Source organism: Homo sapiens, chromosome 2 (assembly GCF_000001405.40).
Source record: "Homo sapiens chromosome 2, GRCh38.p14 Primary Assembly".
NCBI classification, from domain to species: Eukaryota; Metazoa; Chordata; class Mammalia; order Primates; family Hominidae; genus Homo; species Homo sapiens.
Window position 1 is genome coordinate 181,573,087 of NC_000002.12, and position 24,076 is coordinate 181,597,162.

Genomic DNA, 24,076 nt, shown 5'->3' on the forward strand with positions numbered 1-24,076 from the left:
GACTCTTCTACTCAGTTCCCCACCATACGAAAATAAGTCTCAAAGAAACAAAGAAATGTGACTACCAAATTAAAAAAATCAAAAAGGATATTACTAATCATCTATTAAGTTTAGCATTAACAAGTTTCTATTTTCCTTGGCACAAACCTAAGTACATTTCTTAGTTTAGACAACAAATTTAAGCTTCTAGCATCTCTAAATTCATCTATTAATAAAACCAGCAGTTCAGTGCTTAGTTTTGACCTAACCACCAGGGGTCAGAGTCAGAACGAAAACAACCCAAGGAAGAATTCCATGGAAAGACATCAACTATATAAGTGAGCAAAAAATCAATTTCTTGCCTAACTGCAAAATTAACGTGTAAGTAGCAAACATCTCCATGAAGATGTAAACAAGTATACAGCTTCCTTTGTAATTATATCTAACAATTGTTTAAGTCTGAAAAAATATCTGAAAAAATTCTAAAGAGAAAATATTAATATTCTAATAAAAATAACAAAAATAATTAAATTATAACCCTCGAGCTGGCTGCAGTAGGTTATGAAGACGTAAAAATGCTATAGATATTACAAGTAGTTTCCCAAGTTTGCATTAAGGACAAATTCAGATTATTTTGCTTTTGTATGTTTTTGTAGATGGTGAAATTATATTCTGAAAATTACTTACTTGTTACATCAGTTTTTATTCCTGCAAGCTTCAACAGAGGTTCAACCTTCTCATAATAAACCTGGGTAGCTTCTTTTTTGTGACTTTGGGGGTTAAGGAGTATTTTTAATGACTTCGGTCTGTTTGGAAAGCCTAAGAAGAAATTTTAAAGACAAAGTTGTAAAGTCCTTGTCATCATTTTTTTTCTTTCCCTTTAAAATGACACACAAGTCTGTTAGAATGTTATATGCATTTAAATAGTATTTGCTATTTTTATTTGAAATTCTTGCAAGAGTATTCTGAATATAACTTTATTTGAAAACATTTTCCTAGCTGTGAAATAGGTATATCCCTCTTAAAATAAATCATGAGTTAGAACAATATATTTAATTTATGAAGGAAGATGCAAAAAAAAGAGGCAACTTTGTGAATATTAGGCAGTGCTATGTGTATTTACCAAACCACAATATATCAAATGTTCTTTTAGCATTTGTTTCTGGAAAAAAAGCAATGGACTGTAACAAATAGAAGGGTACATTTCCTCTCCTTAGCTAAATGTGCTCATTATTGGAATTGGGCACCCCAGTGACCCCAGGGCTACCAACGCCTGACCTACTGATGAGTCCAGTGCAGAACAGAGGAAGCAGGGATGGGTCAGTGTCAGTACCAAGTGCAGTGCATGCTGGGAGTTAAAAAGAGGGTTTCGGTCAGAGTTCAAGCCTGAAAAGGGGCCAGGGGAGAAAGAACTCTTTTGGGAATTGGGAAAGCAACGCCTCTCAGCAGGGATTCAATGATAGTGCTGCCTCACAGTTGGGGCTGAGATTTGATACTACAATTTTCTGGGCTTGCAAGATGCTTATCTCTTCGAACCCAGTTGGAGCAGGTGCAAAGCAAATTTTCTGTTGTTAGGAAGGGGCAGGAGGGACTGAGGAGCAAAAAGAAAGCTGACAACCGTTTCTTTTACGGTAAGCTGCTCTCAGAGGGCCACGTTTAAAGATTAAACAAGCAGTTATTAACATCTATTTTTAATAAAAACCATTACTAAAAAGACAAGTGAAAATTGTCCACTACAAGAAGTCAGTGTTTCATACATCAAGTAGAGAGAATATTTTACTTCTCATTATATTTGATACAATAAAGTATTTCAACAGGACATACTGTTTTGATTTTAGGGAGAGTTTTAGACGAGGAAGAGATAGGGTCATGATAAACTCCTTAAACATTCCTGGTGAAACTGCCTAGGGCCCTTTTTGGTAAGAAGCCTGCATCAGCCTCCAATCACCCAGGCTGGAAACCTCAAAACCGTGCTCAATGCCTTCCTTTTTCCTTGCCACCTTTGAATGAGTGCTCAGATTCATAAGATGGTAGCCACTTGCTTCCATGCCTTCTCCCTTCTCCCACTGATGTCCTCTGACTTGGGGACCATGCCCAGGCATGCTGGCTGTCCTCCCCTTCCACTGCATCCTTTGGCATCACAGCTCTGGTCAGTGCTGCACAGTTCAAAGGCGGCTATGGCTCATTGCTGCCTGAAGAGCGAGCCCAAACCCCTTAAAATGACATTCAGAATCCTCCTGCTCCCAATCCCACTCACTCTCCTCGCCTTCCTCTGTTACACGCGTTAAAGAAACATGTATTGAGCACTTGTGCTAAGTACTGGGAAGAAGGGCCAAGGGATTAAGATATGATTCGTGCTTTAAAGGAGGAAGATGTATCCACAAATACAGACAGCACAAAACACAGAGGCTGGTTAACAGAGAAGGACAAAGTACAACAGAGTGTGTGAGAGAGGGTGGTTAATTCTTATTAGGGATCTGGAAAAGGCTTCAAGAGAAGGGAGTATCTGAGCAGGGTTTTTGGCTTGTGCTGTTTTCACCCCCTAAAATTTCCTCCCTCATTACCCCTCATCCCACCCCTGAGCAAAACAGCAGGGGTGAAAATTTTAGGCAGTGAGAGCTGCCTGAGCAAATAAATGGAGCTAAATGCAGAGGGTTTTTATGTTCCATTTCAACTTCCTCATCAAGGTCCAAAACCACTGTATTATTGCCAAATTCCTAGTCTGCCGGGCCTTCCTTTGTTCAGACAGTTTTTCCTTTAAGCTCCACCCCATCCCCACTTTTGTCAAAATTTTATGACTTTTCAAAGCTCACTTCAAACAACACTTCCTCAGTGAAGCCTTTCTTAATCAGCAACAGAGTTCACCTCTCTGAAGTTTGTCTCAGAGTAAGGCTTCTCTGCTCACACTTTACTCTATGTTCCTCTATTACTGATCTTTATACTATTTACATGAAAGGACGCAGATGGAAGACTCAAACTGAGAAAATACAATATTGAATAATAACAGTATTATACAACATTGAATTTTCTAAACACCCAACTTCATGAGTAATACTGACACTAAACAAACAAAAGATGAGAAGGGAACATTCTGTTCTATAGGATAATATTAAGGTAATTAATAAATATAGAAGAATTATACAGTGAGAAAAATCACTATTTTCAGTCATCACAATAATTACTGATTCAGGTAAGAATCACCAATGGGTGCCAAAGCCATCCAGTGACAGTCAGTTGGGGACAAAATATTTATATATTCTTAAACTCTGTCCCTCATCACTCCAATTATTAATACAAAGGGCACACTTTTAATGGAGACTAAAGGCATGAAAATTAAATGCAATGTGTGATTCTTGATTGGGTTTTTAAAATATCATGCAGGACAATATTGCTGTCCTTTAACTATGAAAGACTCAGCTTACTTTTACCGAAACACGACAGGCCAGGGAAGGTCAGATCACCCTCGAGCCTTACAGGCATTTACAAGGACTTTGGCTTTTGTAGAGAAAGAGGTGAAGCACGGTGAATTTCAATCAATGAAGCCATATAACCTTAGGTGTTGAAAGAAACACTCTGGCTGCTTTGCGGAAAGTAGATAAAGTAGGGCCAAGGGCCACCAAACAAGAACAGTTGCAATACTCCAGGTGGGAAATGGTTGTGCTTGGACTGAAGTGACTGCAGTGGAGGTTAAAAGTTAGATTCTACATGTATTTTGAAGGTATAGCTGACAGCATTTGTTGACTCTTTGGATATAGTATGTGAAAGAGAAGAGTCAAGGAATATTCAAATGTCTGGCTGGTAAGGGGAAAGTAAGGACTTAAGATGGGTGAGTACTAGTGAAAAATTGGTAGATTCAAATTGTGGTCTCAGAGAAAGTTGTCAGTAATGACAATAACAAGATCTAAGGAACTGGCATATTCATCAGAATTACCTGACGTGCTTCTTAAAACATAGATTCTGGGCTCCAGCCCCCAGAATTTTGGGCTTAGTAGTCTGGGGTGTGGTCTGCAGATTCATATTTATAACAGGTTCCCAGGTGCTGACGATGTCTGCAAAGGGGCCACATTTTGAGAACCAACATTCTAGAAATCATCCTCGTTGAAGGAGAGGAGACCAAAAACTGAAAGAATAGCTAAAGAAACATAACATTTTAATAGGAGTAATGTCAGAGAGAGTGAGAGTAAGATAGAGTTTAAGTCTTCAGGGAGTAAAGAAAATGACTCAGTAGTCTGCACAGGACTGCAACTAGTAGTGCCAGCTAGAGGTATCTAATGGATTGAGCTTCAACACTGAGAACTTTTAAGAGAGGAAAAAGGAATTATGGTCTCAAAATTTAAGTGAGATGGAAGGAAGACATTAAGATATTGACAATATCTCCAGGACCAGTGGTATGAAATGTATGGCAGAGAAACCAGTTACCACTTTAGAGGACTGCAAGGAAAGCTATACAGTCCTGGGAAAGCTGTGTCTCTATTACAACAAGAATGTGGGGGAAATACTTAGAAAGGAGGTTGAAAATAAAGGAGATTTTGCTAATAATGGACAATTCCAGAGGGTAGAGTAAAATGGTGTCTGGAGTTGAGGAGGGTTGGGGACAGTATCAGGCTAGGGGATGTACAGAGACTTAGAGGCATGGGAGGCCAGGTGATGAAGGGTTTTAGGCAGTGACATGGGGTGGAAGAGGTAAGAATTGTTTGCAGCAGTTATGGTTGGCGAGTAAGGCAGTAGGGGGAAGGGGTCTTGTCCCAAGCACATAGAGCTCTAAGAACTTGTCTTCCCTCCAGCTAATGTCAAAGCTGGGAAAGGAGCAATGCTGCCTGGAGCTGAAGGAGATCCAAAGCCCCTTTCCCTTTCAGCAGTCCTGGAAGTCCTGGAATCTGAACCTACATCTGTCTGACATGGCTATACTTTTCACCAAGTGACCTCACTGCAAACATTCTATATTTGAGAAACCCACGCTCATGCTAGACTGCTTTCTCTATAGGTAAATCATACACATGCTACAGAATTCAAAATCACCTTATTTAGCGCATTCACTGATATCTAGTTTCCTTCTTGCACAACAATCACTGATATCACTTTGAGAATCCTTCTAGAAATGTATCTATATACACGCATATATATACACACACGTATATATATACACACATATATATACACACACACATATATGTGTGTATATATATGTGTGTGGGGGGGTATGTGTATGTGTGTAGACAGAGAAAGAGAGAGAGAGAAAAGAGATAGAGAGATGAATGGTGTCTTGCTCTGTCACCCAAGCTGGAGTGCAGTGGCATGATCTTGGCTCACTACAACCTTTGCCTCCCAGGCTCAAGCAATCCTCTTGCCTCAGCCTCCCAAGTAGCTGGGACCACAGGCATACACCACCAGACCCAGCTAATTTTTATATTTTTTCTAGAGATGGGGTTTTGCCATGTTGGCCAGGCTCATCCTGAACTTGGAGTCAAGTGAATCACCTGCCTCAGTCTCCCAAAGTGCTAGGATTACAGGTATGAACCACCATGTTTGTCCTTGTCTAGGAATATTCTATGCATATACAAAAATGCACGTATATTCTACAGCTTTTCACATAGACAGCAGCTTCCCTACATGCTATTCTGTATCTTGCTTTTTCCTTTTACTGTATTTTAAAGATGACTCCATATCACTACATAGGATGCCATCTCACTCTATCTAAAGCTGCCTCATATTCATCTGGATGAATTTACTTCAATTCTTTTGTATGGATGAGTCCTTGAGGATAAATGTTCAGGTTGTTTCCAATCTTCCTTTACTGCAAATAACAATGCAATGAATGCTATTCTCCATCTATTTGATGCAAAATGGACAAACTTCTGGAAGTAGAATCACTGGATCAAAGAGTACGTACTCTTAAGGTTTTATCATATAGTGTTAAATCACTCACTACAGAAACAGCAGAGTTGCGACCAAAAGTGGACACTTGAGAAAAAGGAAATGGTCTCAAATCTTCACTCTGTCATTTATTAACTGTGTGACTTTGAATTACTTGTCTAACTTTTCTTCAAATTCCTCACGTGTAATACAGAAATAATGGTACTTTCTGGATAAGTTAATTGAGATAATTAAATGTAAAGTGCTTAGAAAAGCACCTGGCACAAAGTATTCAGTAAATTTTTCTCTTATTACTACCAATTTACACTCTACAAGGAATTTAGATTGCCTGTTTTCTTACATCCTTATAAACATAAACCCACAGTATGTTCAAACTTTTTGATCTTTGACAAATGAAAAGTGAAATACTGTATGTGACTCTAATTTCAATTTCCATTTCTCTTTTCATGAGAGGTTGTAAAATTTTGTAAATGTTTAAGAGTTATTTTTTCCATGAACTTTCTATGTATGTCACTTGCCAATTCTTCATATTTTCTTTGTCAATTATGGCAGTACTTTACACAGTAAGAAAACTAGGCTTGTTATGAGTTACAAATGCTTTTCCTAGTGTGTCATTTGCCTTAATAACTTATGTTTTCTCCATACTGAAAGTTTTCGCTTACACGGACCTATATTTGAATTTATCAATCATCTCTTTTATGGCCTCTGGGCTTTGTATGATATTTAAGAGTCCCCTTTTGAGACTTAAAAACTGCATTTTTCTTCTAATACTTTTATGGTCTCAATTTTATATTTTCAATTGTATCTGAAGTTCATTTTGATAAAAGGTAAAAAGTTGGGATTTGACTTTCATTTTTTCCAGATGGCTATCTACCTATCCCAACATTATTCATTGGAAAATCCATCTTTCCCCACAGATTTTAAATGCCACCTTTAGAGGTACTAAATTTTTGTATGTGTTTGGATCTCTTTCTGCACTGCCCATCTGAGATCCACTGATCTATTCATATGTCAGTACCATCTTTTAAACATTATAGTTTTATAATGACTTAATAGTCAATAAGACTGGTCTCTCATTACTTTAAAGAATTTTTCACATCTATTTTTGCTTATTTTTACATATGATCTTTGAAATAAGTTTGTCTAGCTTAAAAACATTCTCCTGGTATTTCACTGAGATTGCATTAAATATAAATTATCTTAAGATCAAATAATACTTTTGTGATGTTCAATTTTTCTGTATAGAAACATGGTATGTTTTTCCACATAAATAATCTCCTGTGTCCCTCAGTACCATGTTAAACATTTTAAGATAAGTGGTGAACAATTCTAGGTTTATCAGCTTTTCGTTGCTGCTGTCAACGTGTTTTTCCCCTAACTGATCTCCTAACTGGCTATAGCCTGCATATATCAAAACTATTGATTTCTATACCTAGCCCTTTCCTTAACTGCTTAATTGTAGGCCTTCCCTTTATTCACTTGGATTTTCCAGCTTAACAATTATTTTATCTGTAAATAATAATCATTTAATTTCCCCTTTCCAATGTTCATACCATTCATTTTCTTCAGCAGTCTACTTACATTAGTTCCACCAGAAAAATTTGACTAATAGTGCTCATAATAAAGGACATTCCTGTCAGTTCTAGAATAAGAAAACCTCAAATGTTTCTCCATGTAGGCTTTAAAATGTGATAAACATATTTATCATGTTGATAACCATATCCATCTATTCTATTAAGAGCTGTTTGACATAAGTAACACTGATCTCTAGTTTTCCTTTTTGAACTTGCATTGTCAGAATTTGGTATCAATTTCATGCAAGTTCTATAAATAAAATCTGGAGTTTTCTTTCCTTTTCTATCCTCTAAAATAGTTTAAATAGTATAGAAGTTTTCTGTTCCTGTTCCTTAAGGGTATAACGAACATCTCTGTGAAAATATCAGTCTGGTACTTTTTTAGAAGTACCAAAAAATGCCCGTTTCTTTGGTGTTAATTGATCTGTTTAGATTTCCTATGTCTTCTGGGTTCAGTTTGGTCATGTTCCCTTTCTTAGACAAGGTACTCACTCATTTTACCCTGCTACAAGGAGGCAACCCAGGTTTCCTCCTAGTTTCTAGACATATAGTCTTCCTCCTAACAGTAGCAATACTATTTCTCCCAATAATCAAAATTAATCATCTTTGCCAGCGTAGCATCTTCATTTTTTTCATTTGTTGTTTCAGTTATACAGTTCAGTAATGTGGCCAGGTTATTCTAAATGTCCAGTTCAATTGAACGACTATCATGTTCCCATGTGAAAGTATTGTTTCCTCACACTAAAACCTCAGTGTGTCAGCAAAGTTCAAAGTTGCAGAGGCAAGATGAAAAAATATTTTGAACATGTGATTAGATGTGAAGTAAAAGACAACACTTCTACCTCCACTTCTTGATTCATAGACCCCTGTATTATGTTTATGGAACTAAAAACTACTTTAATGTCACAAGGTTTCATCTTCCAGGTAGAATACAATATGCTACAACAGGAACATGGTAAGACCAGTGAATCCTGTAGTTGACAGCCAATTGCCTCACTTATTTTGATGTGAATGAGTCTCCTGATCAAAAGCAATATTATATAGGATGTCATATTATTGAATAAGGCTTTAATAAGGCCATGTTATTGCTGACAGAAACATGGTGGGCAGGGAATGCAAATCCAAACGTACAGTAAGCATTCATCGCAGCAGTGACAAACCACTGACCTTCCATAATGGAGCAAATCCAATGCAATCAACCTGCCACCAGGTGGCTGGCTGGTTGCTCTGGGACATGGTGCCATATCCAGGGCTCAAGGTTGATCTGTTTGCAGGTAGAACACTTGGCAATAGTGGCAATTCAATCAACCTTGGTAAGCAGCAGTGCTTATTAAATCCATTTATTTCTCCCATCCCTGCACCAGTGCTATTTTAAGTGTCCACTGCATAAGCCCTGAGGTTGCTTTGCAGTGATGCTGACTAACATCTGTAGAATAGGGCATCTTGCCTACCTATTTCCTCCTCTGAATGAATTTTCTTTGTTGAACGTTTACAAAAAAACATAAATCTCATTTTCTGTTCTTATTCTGTGAAAGTATACTTTCCACCTCATACATCTTTGTCACCAATCTTTCTCTTTCAACTCGACTAATTCACCAAACTCTGAACCACTGTCCATACACTGATAAACATCAATCCCTTGGCCATCACACCTTGACAATTAGTATCAACTGATTAAAATACCAGCCCCACTATTTGATGGGGGAATACTCTTGAGTGGGATTGTAATGCTTTAGCAGCTCATTTTTGTTGTATCATGCAGAACCATCTCTAAACTAGGTTCCTTTTATTTCCTTCAGTGTGCTGGTCATGGAAAATGTTTCATGAGGCTGCATATGTGTGGTGAAGAGGAAAAAGCAACACAGCAACAGTTGTAGGCCATCAGCATATTTAATGTACTACAGTCATATCTTCTTACCCTTTAGTAGTAGTATCGGTATAAAATGCCTTTCTACCTAAAATAGCTAGAATATTTTATTTTATTCAACTGAAATATTGTCAACATATATATATATATATATATGTTTTTTTTTTTTGAGATGGAGTCTCGCTCTGTCACCCAGGCTGAAGTGCAGTGGCTGGCGGGATCTTGGCTCACTCCAACCTCCGCCCCCTGGGTTCAAGTGATTCTCCCGCCTCAGCCTCCCAAGTAGCTGGGATTACTGGGATTACAGGTGCATGCCACCAAGCCCAGCTAATTTTTGTATTTTTAGTAAACACAGGGTTTCACATGTTGGCCAGGCTCGTCTTGAACTCCTGACTTCAGGTGATCCGCCCACCTCAGCCTCCTAAAGTACTGAGATTACAGGCATGAGCCATTGCACCTGGCCTCGTCAACATATGTTTCTAATAGACATCTCAAACTTAACATATTCAAAACTGATATTCTGACTTTCCCACCAAACCTAGTCTACCTATCCACAGTCTTGCCCATCTCACTAAACGACCACTTTATCTTTCCACTTTATCTTTGCTCAAGTCAGAAACTTTAGTGCCTTACTGTGAAAACTGGTAATTAAAAATTGCTTAATTAGTTAACTAAGCATTTATCCTACCTTTTTAATATGCGCTATATTTCTGGGTAATCAAATAACCCCAGTTGCGAAGTAACATCCATTTAAAAATAAAAACAAGGCCATTCATTTAGAAAAAAAAAAAAAGATTGAATTAGAAAGTCTCCATGTTGCCATCCCTAATTAAATAATTAGTTCAGGCAAGGATGATCAATGTGTGTTAAAACCATTAGGTGAAATATTTATTGAAAACTAGATATCTCTTCCCTACCCACCCCCCAACTCAACAAATTATCTAGTAGTTTCACATGAAACATTACAATAGAAGGATCAGGCTGTCACCTCCTTAGCTTAGCCTCATGAATAGTGAAATAGTCAGAATTAAGTGCTACCTAACATTAAGCACTAGAACTTATGAAGTATTCTTGCCCAAAGTATCAAACATGAATCTCAGTAAGCCTTTAGATTGAAAATTCAGTTTAGAGGAAATACAGGCAACAGAACAACAAGTTAAACGATATCACAAAGAAGCCATCGGATAGTGGTACAGCAGTAGTGCTCAAAGTATGGTCTTCAGAATGAAAGTCCAGCATCACCAGCAGCTCACTGGAAAGAGCAACTGAATCAAAATTTCTGAGAGTGGGGACTAGTAATCAGAGCTCTCCTAGTAACTCTTATGTATGATAAAATGTCTACAGGACAAATAATCTAGTCTCTTCCATAAGTCAATGTCAGAGAGAATAAAACATACGAAAAAACATGTTGTAATGTTACAGTTTAAATGTAATTAGTTAAATGAATGATTCTTGATCAGACACTAGTTGGTAAAAGTTAACTATAAAAGACATTATGGAAAATATGGAGAATTTGACTATGGACCAAGTATTAAATGTTAATAAGCAATTATCATTCATTGATTTGGCAGGTTAATGATATTTGGTTATCTGAAAAATATCTATTTTTAGAGCTACACACTGCAGCATTTTGGAGAGAACTATCACAATATCAACAATTTACTTTAGAACACATTGGCAGAATAAAATGTTTGAAGCAGATACAGAAAAATGTTAAGATCTGTAGAATCAAGGTGATAAAAATATGGGTGCCCACTGGAATACTGTTTATATTTTCTATATGTTTGACACTTTTCATAACAGAATATTCATGTAATCTTTGACTTATCCTCTTAATAACCGCCATATTGGCCAGGCATGGTGGCTCACTCCTATAATCCCAGCACTTTGAGAGGCTGAGGTAGGAGGAATGCTTGAGGCCAGGAGTTAAAGGCTACCCTAGGCAACACAGAGAGATATTGTCTCTACAGAAAAAAAAAAAGTTGGCTGGATACAGTGGCATATGCCTGTAATCTCAACTACTAGGGAGGTTGAGGTGGGAGGATCACTTGATATCAAGAGTCTGAGGCTTCCATGAGCTATGGTCACACCATTGCACTCCAGCCTGGACAACAGAGCAAGACCTTGTCTCAGAAAAGAAAAAAAAAATCTGCCATGTCTATGTTGGTAAATGACATGTCTCTGTCAGCCAGTTCTATCTGGAAAAATGAATCCAAAGTCTAAGCATGTCTCACCATCTCTCCCACTCCCAGCTTAATTTAAGTCACCATCTTTTGCCTGGATTAATCCATTTTTCATTTAACCTGTCTCCTGCTTGCCTGTATCAATTATTCCATCCACTCATATATACACCACTCTCTCCACTTAGTGGCCACATATCCATTTTAAAAGGAAATTATGTTACTTTTCTATTAAAATCCCCAAATAGCTCCCCGGTTTTTTTTGTTTTTGTTTTTGTTTTTTTCAGAATAAAAGTAAAAACTCATACAAAGCTTGTAAGGCCCTTCATGACCCACCCTCAGCCGCATTTGTGACCTACTCTTTCCCCTGCTGACTCCACTTGAACATGACTTTCTTGCTCAATTCTTTGCACTTTTCGTTTCCTCTGCTTGGACCATGTTTTCCTTCATATATCGATATGGCTCTCTTTCCCCATTACTTTCAGCTTTCTTCTAAAACTCCACAGTCAATGAAGCCTTCCTTGCCCACTGTGTATAGAAGAGGAAATATTTTCATCTGATTGCCTGGTAGTACATACCATCACTTGACATAATAGAAATACATTTATTTGATTTTTTTGAATTCCCCCTCTACCACTAGGATTTAAGCTCCTTGAGGTCAAGAACTTCATGATTCTGCTCTCTGCTATGTTTACTAGTTCCTAGAATAGTGTCTGGCACACAGTAGGTGCCCAATAAATATAAATAAATAACTAATATTCTTTTAAAAACCCCAAATTAAAAAATAAGTTATAAAGCTGCGATTTCAACTGCATTAAAGAAAACAAAAGCACAACACTGCAAAACAATCATTTAAGCAAAAAGCTTCTCTTTAAATTGGTATTTTATAAAGGAAGTCTAAAATTACAACTATTTCTATTAATTCCTAAAATAAGACAAAAATACTTAATAAAGAACCAGAGTTATCAAAGTTAAGTTTTCTGATAGGTATCTAGATCCCTTAGAAAAAATATTTAGCATGAAAAAACAAGCAACCCCTTATTACTGCCAAGTTTTAAAAACAAAAAAGCAATTCAGTCTCTATCTCATGTCTACTCCTTATATCTACAAACTTAAAGTCAATAGAAAAATCATATTTGAGAACTGGTAAAAAATCTTTTCTAAATTAAAACTCTAAATTAATAGTAGCATTGAAAATAAACACCGACCCTTTTGCTCAGAACTTAAATCAGTTTGCCTTCCAGAAACAAGTCATCAGTGATAAAATCAGACAGTGGACCTGAAAGCAGCAGCCCGTATGACACTAGTTTGTTTTGAAAAGCAAGCCCATTGCCTTATCCTAGACTTGAACTCAGAGTGCTGTCTCTCATCCCCATCGGGGCACAGAGCTTCATCATCTCACAAGAGAAAGGAAAATGCAAAAAAGCAGGTGGCCCAGGGGATGACAACCAGTAAGGAAAGATGAAGCCAAGACAAAATTCACCCTATGAAACTGCCAAATGATGCAGTAAACCTATCTCCCATGAAAGGAACTGTAACAATAAGATGACCTTAGTCACTAGGTTAGGAAGGTAAGAAAAAAAAGCCTTTAGATTGCAAGAAAATTGATAAAAAGGGAACAGCTTAATTTTTTTCATGAGAAAACAGACACACATCCTAACCCTCTTGACTAAACAATTAACATTTTTAGGTGACCTAGAAATAAAGTATAATGTAAGGACTTATGTAAAGTCATTAGGTACAAATAACTCTCTGGAAAACATTTTTAAAATGCTCCAACACAAGGCATCAGGTAGTCATGACCTTGCTCTGCTCTCATCCAATTATGACAAACTGTTTAATATGAAAGCTATATTGAGACACCTAAATCCCCTAAACTCCTTGAAAAAAAAAGATGAATTTCAAAGTGGTAATTATCACTTATTCATAACTTGACAACAGTGTAAGCATCCCCCAAGTAGACAATCCAAGATTAAAATATAGGTATAATTCAACATTAATATGCAACTGACTTGGTTCTCAGTCCTTTGGTAACTTCCCAATTCATACTCTAGAGTACAGACCTTTTTAGCACGCCAGTTTGCAATGAACCAGCAATGTAAAACAGAATGGCCAACTGTTCCTCTGTTGGTAACAAATGTGCTAATATATACTAGTTTAAACTTGATCTATCAGTGAGTCAATGAACCGTGAAGGGTGGGGGTTAATCAGGGTGTTCTCCAAACAAAGGCTCATGAGAGCGGCAGGGACGCCACTCCCAGACTCACATCTGTGCTGTTTTGAGTGCAGCATGATGGAAATGGCATGGTGTTCATCAAAGTTAAGAGCCCAGAACCTTGTCATACTCTTGTGTATATTCACCACTATTTTACACAGAAAAGCAACCAAGTTGTTGCAAAGATAAAACCCAAACACAGGAAATAGAAACCTCAGTTAACCACAAGTCTCAGGAGCTATTAATATTAAACTATGCCCAGTTAATGTGTAACAGTGATGGTAAAAGCCTTTCCTACATAAGATTTGACAACTTTCCAGTAGAGGTCTGAGTTAGAGATATTTTATATTGGCAATTTATATTAAAATGCATCAATTTCACCTTATTATCCACAAAAGCTTATAGATGCAGATCTTTACATACACAGATGAAAATAATTTTAATGCCGTAAGTCAAAGTAAAAACAAAGCCATGTAACTTCTAAATTTACATGCAGCCCAGCAATGTAAACATATCTCTGTTTCTAATAGCTAAAACTGACTGAACAGTAATTAGCAGAATCACCTGCTGCCGGAATAATCACCTCAATACTTCAGAATTTAAATGATAAAAGAGCTAAGACTATTTAAATAGAGAGCAAGAGAACAGCGAAGAAGAAAAATTCAGCCAAATGTGTCATCCATATATCTTTATCATTTTTTATCCTGATATAATGAATTTTTACTCATTTTAGAAGATGCTATAGAGTAGACCTATTTAACTATATCACTTTTCCTAATTAAAAATCCAGACTAAAAAGAGATATACGTAACTGGCTTTAGGAAATTCTTTTTCCCTACTCTACATAGAAGTCAACCACAAAATTAGTTAAAATAATTAGCATTTAAATACAATTAACCTCATAAAAAATCCAATTCAAATGATAGTTGTATATTTAATCCTTCATGAACTAGAAAATTATAAAATTATTAGAGAACACTTTTATGAATATGTTTTACCTTAATGATTTTATCAATTAAAAAGCTTTTTCAAAGTATCCTTTCTGGATCATATGTAAGTAATTAGGTGTGGCTTTTAAGATAAATTTTTAGTTATTTGCAGGGCCTCCAAAAAAAATAATTTTTAGCATTCCAAGAACATATGTTCCATTATAAAGAGTCGTGAAAAGACTTGTGTACTATATGTTGAAGACCAATTAGAGAGTTTAAAATTTTTAATTAAAAATAAACTGTATATTTATCATGTACATCATGTTGTTTTGAAATATATATACATTGTGAAATGGCTAAATTGAGCCAATTTACATATGCATTATCTCACATACTTATCATTTTGTGGTATGAACAGAAAATCTACTCTTAACAATTTTCAAGTATACTTTATAATTAACTATACTCACCATGGTATACAATAGACCTCTTGAACTTCTTCCTCCTATCTAACTGAAATCCTGTATCCCGTGACCAACATCTCCTTGATCCCTCAGCCTATCGCATACCCCTGGTCACTACCATTCTATTCTACTTCCTTGAGTTCAACTTTTAAAATTCCACATATAGGAAAGATCATGTGGTATTTTTCTTTTGGTGGCTGGCTTATTACACTCAGCTAATGTCCTCCAGGTTCAACCACGTTGTGGCAAATGACAGGATTTCCTTCTCTTCAAAGGCTGAATGGTATCCCATTGTGTATACACACCATATTTTCTTTATCACTTGTCCATTGATAGATACTCAGATTGATCCCTTATCTTGGCTATTGGGAACAATGCTGCAATAATCACTAAAATACAGTTCTCTTCAATATACTGATTTCCTTTGGATATATTCCCAGTCGTGGAATTGCTGGATCATATGGTAGTTCTACTTTAAACTGTTTGAGGAACCTCCATTCTCTTTTCCATCACAGCTATACTAATTTACACTGTCACTAACAGTGGGCTAGAGTTCCTTTTTCTCCACACCCCACCAATACTTATCTTTTATCTTTCTGATAACAGCCATTCTAACAAGTGTGAGGCGATATCTCACTGTGGTTTTAATTTGCATTTCCCTGATTGTTAGTGATGCTGAGTATTTTTTCATGTTGTCCATTGGTATGTCTTCTTTCGAGAAATGTCTATTCAGATCCTTTGCTCATTTTTTATTCATGTTATTTGTTTTCTTGCTATTGAGTTGTTGCAGTTCTTTATATACCTTGGATATTAACCCTCTGTCAGATGTGTGGCTTAGAAATATTTTCTCCCATTCCATAGGTTGTCTCTTCACTCAACTGACTGTTCCCTTTGCTGTGAAGAGCTTTTGGGTTTGATGTAATCCAACGTACCTATTTTTGCTTTTGTTGCCTGTTCAAGTTCACATCTTAAAAATGATTGCCAGACTTAAATATAAATATTTCTATTGGTGTATCCTTTCTACCATATTAAGAACTGTGGCTCCCAACAACAAGGCATCTGCCCATTTGCCCAATTGTATGATGTATAAAAACTACTTTCAGAAAAGTGGCAGCCAAACCACTAAGAAAAGTAAACTTGCTGAAATGAGTTCAAGATTTATTGGCAGCTCTTTTTTTGGCCCCTAGACTGAAAGTATATATTTCAAGTACTGTGTTCAAAAGTTACTTGGGTTAGCTTTTTCCACCTTTCATAATAGTAATATTATTGCCAGACCAATGGCATGAAGTATTCAACGTCATGAAGCTTTACGCCTATGTTTTCTTTCTAGGAAGAAAGGATACACAAGTAAAAATCTTCATATTTAAGTCTTTAATTCATTTTGTTCCAGTCTATCTGGGACAAAGATGGACTTTTCAATAACTTGTTTTGGGACAACTGGGTAACAACTATTTGGGAAAAAATAGGATCAATACCTTCTACCATACAAAAAATAAACTCCAAATGGACTAGAGATCTAAAATTCAACTATGCAAGTACTAGAAGAAAACATGGGTGAATTTATCTATAAGTTGAGTGTAAAGAAAGTCTTACTACAATGCAAAAGCCAGAGCCAATAAAGAAAAAGTGTGTAAATTTAACTCCACAAAAGGTATGTATGTATGTATGTATTTAGAGAAATGGTCTCACTCTGTTGCCTAGGCTGGAGTGCAATGGCACAATCACTGCTCACTGCAGCCTTGACCTCCCCAGGCTCATGTGACCAGCCCGAGTAACTGGGACTACTGGTGCATGCTACCACACCCAGCTAATTTTTTTTTTTTTCTTTTTTGGTAGAGAGAGGTTTTTCCCATGTTGCCCAGGCTGGTCTGTCCAGTTCCTGGGCGCAAATGATTCAACCACCTTGACCTCCCATAGTGCTGAGATTACAGGAATGAGCCACTGCACCTGGCCCATAATGGTTTTGTTTATATATTTATTTAATTTTGAGACAGAGTCTCACTCTGTTGCCCACTCTGGAGTGCAGTGGCACGATCTTGACTCACTGCAACCTCCACCTGCTGGGTTCAAGTGATTCTCATGCCTCAGCCTCCTGAGTAGCTGGGATCACAAGCATGTGCCACCAAGCCCAGCTAATGTTCTTCTATTTTTAGTAGAGACAGGGTTTCACTGTGTTGGTCAGGCTGGTCTGGAACTCCTGGCCTTAAATGAGCTGCCCACCTCAGCCTTCCAAAGTGCTGGAATTACAGGTGTGAGCCACTGCACCTGGGCCCATAAAAGGTTTTAATTAAAAACTTTTCATGAAAAAAAAATCGTTATAAGAGAAAAGTTATATATTGGGAGAAAAATATTTGTAACATATCAAATAAAATGGCTAATATTCCTGAAATATAAAGAACTTGTCAGAATTGAGGAGGAAAAAAAACCAAAAGTATTATGGAATATGGGAAAATAATATGAAGATAATTCACAAGATATTAAGAATAGCCCTGAGACTAGCCGAACTTGAAAAGATGCTGAACTTTAATGTATTAAAACTATATTGATATACCATTGTTTACCTATCGCATTGGAAAAATTCTAAAACATAAAAGTACTTAAAACATACAATCTGTTGGTGAGGCTTTGAAGTAATGGACGCTGTTATACGTTGCTGGTAAATATTTTAAAAATGATATAAACCCCATGGAAAGGAATTTATCAATATCTAACAAAACTACACATGTGCTTAACCTTTAACCCAGAAATCTATGTCTAGAAATTTACCAAGGTACGATATGCACAAAGTTTACTGCAGCATTATTAGTAATTGCAGATACTAGAAACAGTCAAAATGTCCACACATGGGGAAGTGAATAAAATATGGTACAGACAACACAATGAAGTCTTATACAGCTATTAAAAAATATAAGGAAGCTCTCTGTGACACGATATGGAGTGATTTCCAGTATATGCTGTTAAGTTTAAAAGGAAAGTGGCAAAGTACATACTGAACGTTACTTTCTGTGTAAAAAAGTATAAAAATTTAAAAAACATACATATATGAGGTAACTTTTCAAATAGGAATATAAGTAAGATAAACTAGAAACCAGTGCAATCGGTTACCTATAAGGGGTAAGAGAGATGAGGTGGAAATGATACAGGAAGGAGTGTTTTCTTCTTTTGGAAACATGTTAATGTCCTACATATTAAATATATATAATGAAATTAATGAAGATAGAGAGAAAAAAACTGAATATAGAAACAAAGCCAACTGTATTTCAAGTAAATAATATTACTATTATGAAAGGTGGAAAAAGCTAACCCAAATAATTTTTGAACACAATACTTGAAATATATACTTTCAGTCTAGGGGCCAAAAAAAGAGCTGCCAATAAATCTTGAACTCATTTCAGCAAGTTTATTTTTCTTAGTGGTTTGGCTGCCACTTTTCTCAAAGTAGTTTTTATACATCATACGATTGGGCAAATGGGCACATGCCTTGTTGTTGGGAGCCACAGTTCTTAATATGGAAGAAAGGATACACAAATACAAAGGAGAGACACAGGGAAGAATCTTGTAGGATTGGATAGATCCTAGCAAGATCAATATAAACTTATGATTTCTAATAAATATGTCCTAACTCCGTCAGCTACAAGAGTCTACAAGGTATGACCTCCTAACCACTAGGAGTATATTTAGCTCCCAGATGTTGGTTTCCCAATACTGTTCCCCACCAAAATAAACAAGAGTTTCTTAGAGAAATGGCTGATTCCTGGGCTGGGGCAAGGAAGGTGTGAGATAAACCTAGAATATTCTGTTGTGCCGAAAAGTGAGATGTGCCAAATTGATGGAAACAGGTTGAAAAGCCACATTAGAGAGTTTTAAGAAGTTTCTTAAAATGTCTTCACCTCTATATCTCAAAGGAAACTCAATTTCAACTTGTATAAAGGGAAGACTTCTTTATCTTTCTCCCTCCCTACACCTTCTCCTTTATTTCAGTTCCAAGCACTTACATCCACCAGTACAAGAAATCTGAATCATCTTTCTCTTTCTCTCTCTTGACTCAGCTGATTTAATGTTATAAACATTTTAAATGTTTCTCTCATCTCCTGGGTCTGACAGCTCTAAAATTGCCAGATCAATTTCAACTGTTACTTACAGACATGTTAGCAACATGAGAATGGTATCAACTATATAACTAATATGAGCAAAGTTTATTGTTTTAACCAGAAGTCAAATATAGAGCAGTATTTTAGAACCAGCCCTCAAACACAGAGAACACAGATTACATAAGTATTAACTATAAAATATTTTATTGGCACCTATCACTTTTTGAGTATTTATATATTTGACGCCCAGTTACATATACAACCAAGGTAGGCATCATAAGGATAGCACAATCTGAATGGCATATCAAAGACAGCAACTAATATGCTTCACTGGATTTAAAATTAGATTCTCTCTGCAGCAACATTACAGGCTATGGAGTACGCCTCCTAACTTTTCAAGTGTCAGGAGAGCATGGTGGGTTAAGAACATGGACTGTGGGGACAGACTGCCTGAGTTTGAATCCCAATTTCACAACTTTATAGCTGCATGACCTTATCTGTAAAATGTAATCATAGTTTCTTGTCTCAGGGATGTTGTGAAAATTAACATCTGTTGGTAATGTGAAACACAGTACATTCCATGACACACCAAGAAATCATGATGATGATGATGACGGTGATAATGATGAATTCTATTAGTATAATGGCAATCTCTCTCACCCTCTCCTCTGGAAAGACAATGCTTAATCTTGGTCTCAAAGGGCTAAAGAGTTTGGGGCTATGGATTCTATAGAAGCTCAATACATACCTGGAGAGCTATACAATAATAGTAAGAGTTACCCTTTATTGAGTACCTGCTGCTTTGCATACATTACACATTTAAGCATCTCAGTAACCTAGCTAGATTGGCATTATCAACTTCCCTTTACAGATAGGAGACCATAGAAGACATAAAGACCCCAAGTAAGTGGTAAAGCTAGGGACCAAACCCAGATTATCCATATAAAAATTCTATCAGTCACAATGACTAATTGATTAATCTGAATGATGTGTTTTCCATTCAAGTAAAAAGAGATAAATAGAGGACCCATCCATGCTATCTAGCGTGATCATCCTTCCCACATATCTGGTGGGACAAGGATAAGTAAGTCACCTCATTTCTGACAGATTTACTAATATCCGTGGTAAACAGTTTAAAGAGCTTCAAAATAAACATTTGTGGAGTTAGGACTTGAAAGTCTTTTGATTCTGTATGTACTGCAAAATGAAAATTTTTATTTTTGAAAAGATAGACAATTCAGAAGTATATAAAGAATTCCATCATTTCCTTTTGGAAAAAAAAAAAAAACTAAAACACCACTGGTAAAAGTTGGGCATTAGACTGCCTAGAGCTTACCTATTCTGCTCCAAACTTGGAGAACAGGAAAGTTCTGTTCCCTTAGATTTCAAAGGACCCTCTCTTTTGCCAATATAAAGGGTTCACAGCTTGATGGCTTTCCTTGCTAACCAAATTTATCAGTTTCTCATCTACAAATCCCTCAACCTGCATAGCCCATTGATGGACTCCTTTCCAGTGTTGCGACATTTTTAATATACTTGACAATAATATACTTAGTCCCAAATACACAGCATAGTCAGTTATACCCTGCCTTTCCAGAAAACACTACTAAAAAAAAAAAAAAAAAGAATGTATTTTTGAATCAGAAGGCCTGGATAGGAATCTTGTTCTACCACTTTATAAGCACCTTACCCAAAGCAAGTCAACCAATCTCTCAGAGTGCTGATTCCTTAGCCATCTGTGAGGATTAAAAAATATTGACCACAATAAAAGTGCTGTGATAAGGATTAAATGAGTTGGTTTATAACAGAAGCAACTAGAATAATGCCTACCACATAATAGATAAGGAGAATACTCAGTTCACTTCACCAACATTTACTGAGCTATGCAGTGTGCCAAGTGTTAGAAATAAAAAATAAAATTTATTGAACACTTATTATATGTGAAACTCTGTTTCAAGTACTTACTAATCTCTGTGCTAAGAAGAGTTACAGTCTTCTTACAGTAGAAGTATCCCCTTTGTGAGCCCACAGTTAGCATTAAGTGATGATGTTTTCTATCAGAGTATCAGCAGTGCCAGGAACATATAAAAGAGTAAGTGCCTGGTTTGCTCAGGTACAGTTAGTTTTGCAGAGGATCACCTGGTTTGTATCAGACCTTGAACTTCAAACCAGATTTCACTAGGCAAACAAGAGATGGGGGGCATTCTAGACAGAGGGAAGTCCCTAGCTCTGTCACGTAATTAGCAAGTGGGAAGGCAATGACACAAAAGAGAACACAGCTTGGCATCAGATGCTATGAAGGGCCCAGGAACCTGACCACACACACAGGCTTCGCCTTTGCCTATCTCTGCTCCTTCCACTGAAAAAATAACAAAGGTGTGAAACTAGTAAAAACAGAAAGTGAACTTCTTCAAAATATATAATTTTACACCTAATGTATTTTTTTCAAAAAATATAGTAAAAAACGGTGCTTTTGCTTTAAAGATGATCGACAAGGAGAAAAAAATGGTTGATTTGAAAACTATTACCAGAATGCTTCAGCACATAGCTGCTGCAAATATCCATCTACCTGCCTCAAACAACAAATATATTCATACACAATTATAACAAAATTCCTGGAGTTACATATAATATCTGTATAAATACCACACAATTTTATTATCATTAATGATAGTCTAATGAATGCTGGGGGCTTAATGATTTGTTGCCTAATTTAAAGTATTATGTATTTCCTATTTATTCATACTGTGAGAGTAGAACTTTATTACTTTTTACATCATTTATTTTCAGTGACAGAAGTTATTAAGTGATAATCCATTATACTCTCATCTAAGGATTGAGTCAATGTTTTATCTAATTCTGTAGATTTACAGAATTTGTGTTTTGCTTAGGAAACCCTGCTAAACATAAAGCCTGGTAATCTGTCACAAATCAGTGTGTTTATATGTGTTTTTAAAATTCCTTTAACAAAAAGAAATGTCTGCCATTTTTTTTTTCATAGTGCACACCCAATTCAGGCCAAGACATTTGAGAAATCTCAATAATAGCAACAGTCATGAGGAAACTTTTTTAAGTATTGAGAAATTATGAATGCTGACCCTACGGGTTGCCCTGCTTCAAGAGTTTGGAGTTCTGAATCATCATGATTAGAAAAGAACACTAGAGCGGGACAACTTTCAAACAAGATGATATGGATACTTTCTAGCAGGTGTATGAAGTCCTTGTTTTTACAGTAGAGTCTAAATCTACTATAAATCTAAACACAGTAAATAAAGTATACTTAATAGGTATTGTAGAGTAACTGATGACCTGCTAGAATGACACATCAGTTAAGGGTTCCTGCTCCAGATTCAGACATGTACAGATTTATTCCCAGCTCCTCCTCTACCATCTACCGGTTGTTTAACCTTGTTAACTGATTTTTACATTATGTAAGCCTTAGTTTTTTCATTTATAAACTAAGAGATGATAATGATAATAAAATTCACTTAATTATACTATTTTCTAAGTCATGCATTGTTTTCATTCTTCAAACCTCACAGCAAAACTCATAATTTTATTTCCCTTCTTACATGAAAACATATTTGTAGTTCTTGATGCTATTATTATGAAGATTTAATGAGATAATTCATAAAAGTTGCTATCAAAAAATGGAACCTACTAAATGCTTAATAAACATCAGCTATTATCATTAGGATTTACATTTTTATAATAATGACTTTAGTAAAGGAAGACATGTTAACTTATTTAACAGCATGAAAACAATTCAACATTTTACTGAAAATGTTTAGAGAATCTTCAATTAGCATTTTGAATATAATCACATAAGATCTGACAAAGTTTATCTAAATTGTTTCTCCGAAGAAGTTTTGTTACACAAAGCACAGTCAAAAGGGCTTCTTCCTAGCAAAAGAATTTGAAATATATCAGAAATAAGATGACAATGAATATACTTCTTAACTCTTATTCTCAGGATACTCTGTCAATGACTAAAGCAGAAATATAATTTTCTTGTATAAGACACCAATTACTTGTTTTTAGTATAATTATGACCAATTACATGTAAAAATATAACCCTCTCTTAGAATAAAAATGCCACCAGGGCCCGTGAGAAGCCCTAGGGAAGACTGCCTGATGTTACTTATCCCAAGTATAAATAGAATGAATCACTTCTGAAGAGCTAATTGCTTTTAGCTGAAAGGGTAGAGGTTATGAGCTAGGGCTGTTGATGGACAAAGAGAAACACTGCAGGAACCTTTGCCATGTCTGTCAACCTTTTCCAAGCATCCCATAAACCAGTCATACAGTAAAACTCTTGGAAAATAAGTGAGAATTTTACATGAATCAGGAATGGGTATTGCTTAACTTTTAATAATATTTAATAAGAATATAGCATGTTCTGTCACCTATAATTAATCCCTGGAAAGGTTTCTTTGGTTAAGTGTGGCATTCAGGGTTCTACATAAGTTCATTCAATCAAACTGTGCTGATGAGATCTTGGCTGTCCATGGTACTTGGTCCTGGCAACACATTAGAATCCCTGGAGAGACTTTTAAAGAAAGCCCATGCCTGGAACCCACTGAGACTTATTTTATCAGAACCTCTCAATCCTCGGACTCAGGAATAAGTCCTAAGAAGGATGAAATTCTAAAAAGTGATATTCATGTGTACATATGTCATAACATAAATGCTATCCTTTTTTAATAGCACCCTATTTATATTTTCAATTTCTCTTTTTTGATCATTTTTCACATACTTATTTGACATTCTCTGCTTGCTTTATTATGTGGAGGTCTTGGCAGTCTAATGATAGTTTGTTATGTCTGCAGACTCCTACAGTGAATTTTTCCCACCACTACTTACTAGAGTAGAAAGGGTTCAAATCTCAAACTAACATGCTATC

At 36.2% G+C, this 24,076-nt stretch overlaps 1 protein-coding gene across 7 annotated transcripts in view; it reads right to left on the reverse strand.

Annotated features, from left to right (window-relative positions):
* Positions 1 to 24,076, reverse strand: part of CERKL (CERK like autophagy regulator) — a 120,434-nt gene that overhangs the window by 36,415 nt on the left and 59,943 nt on the right. For 4 of the 7 annotated variants that reach the window (NR_027690.2, NM_001030313.3, NM_201548.5 and 1 more), the window contains exon 3: positions 667 to 798. The exons of the other annotated variants lie outside the window; for them this stretch is intronic. Coding sequence is in view for 3 of the 4 variants with exons in the window: in NM_001030313.3 (NP_001025484.1) it covers positions 667 to 798 (132 nt within the window). In the remaining variant the exon portion in view is untranslated. The remainder of the gene's footprint in view (positions 1 to 666; positions 799 to 24,076) is intronic. 7 annotated transcript variants of the gene reach the window in all.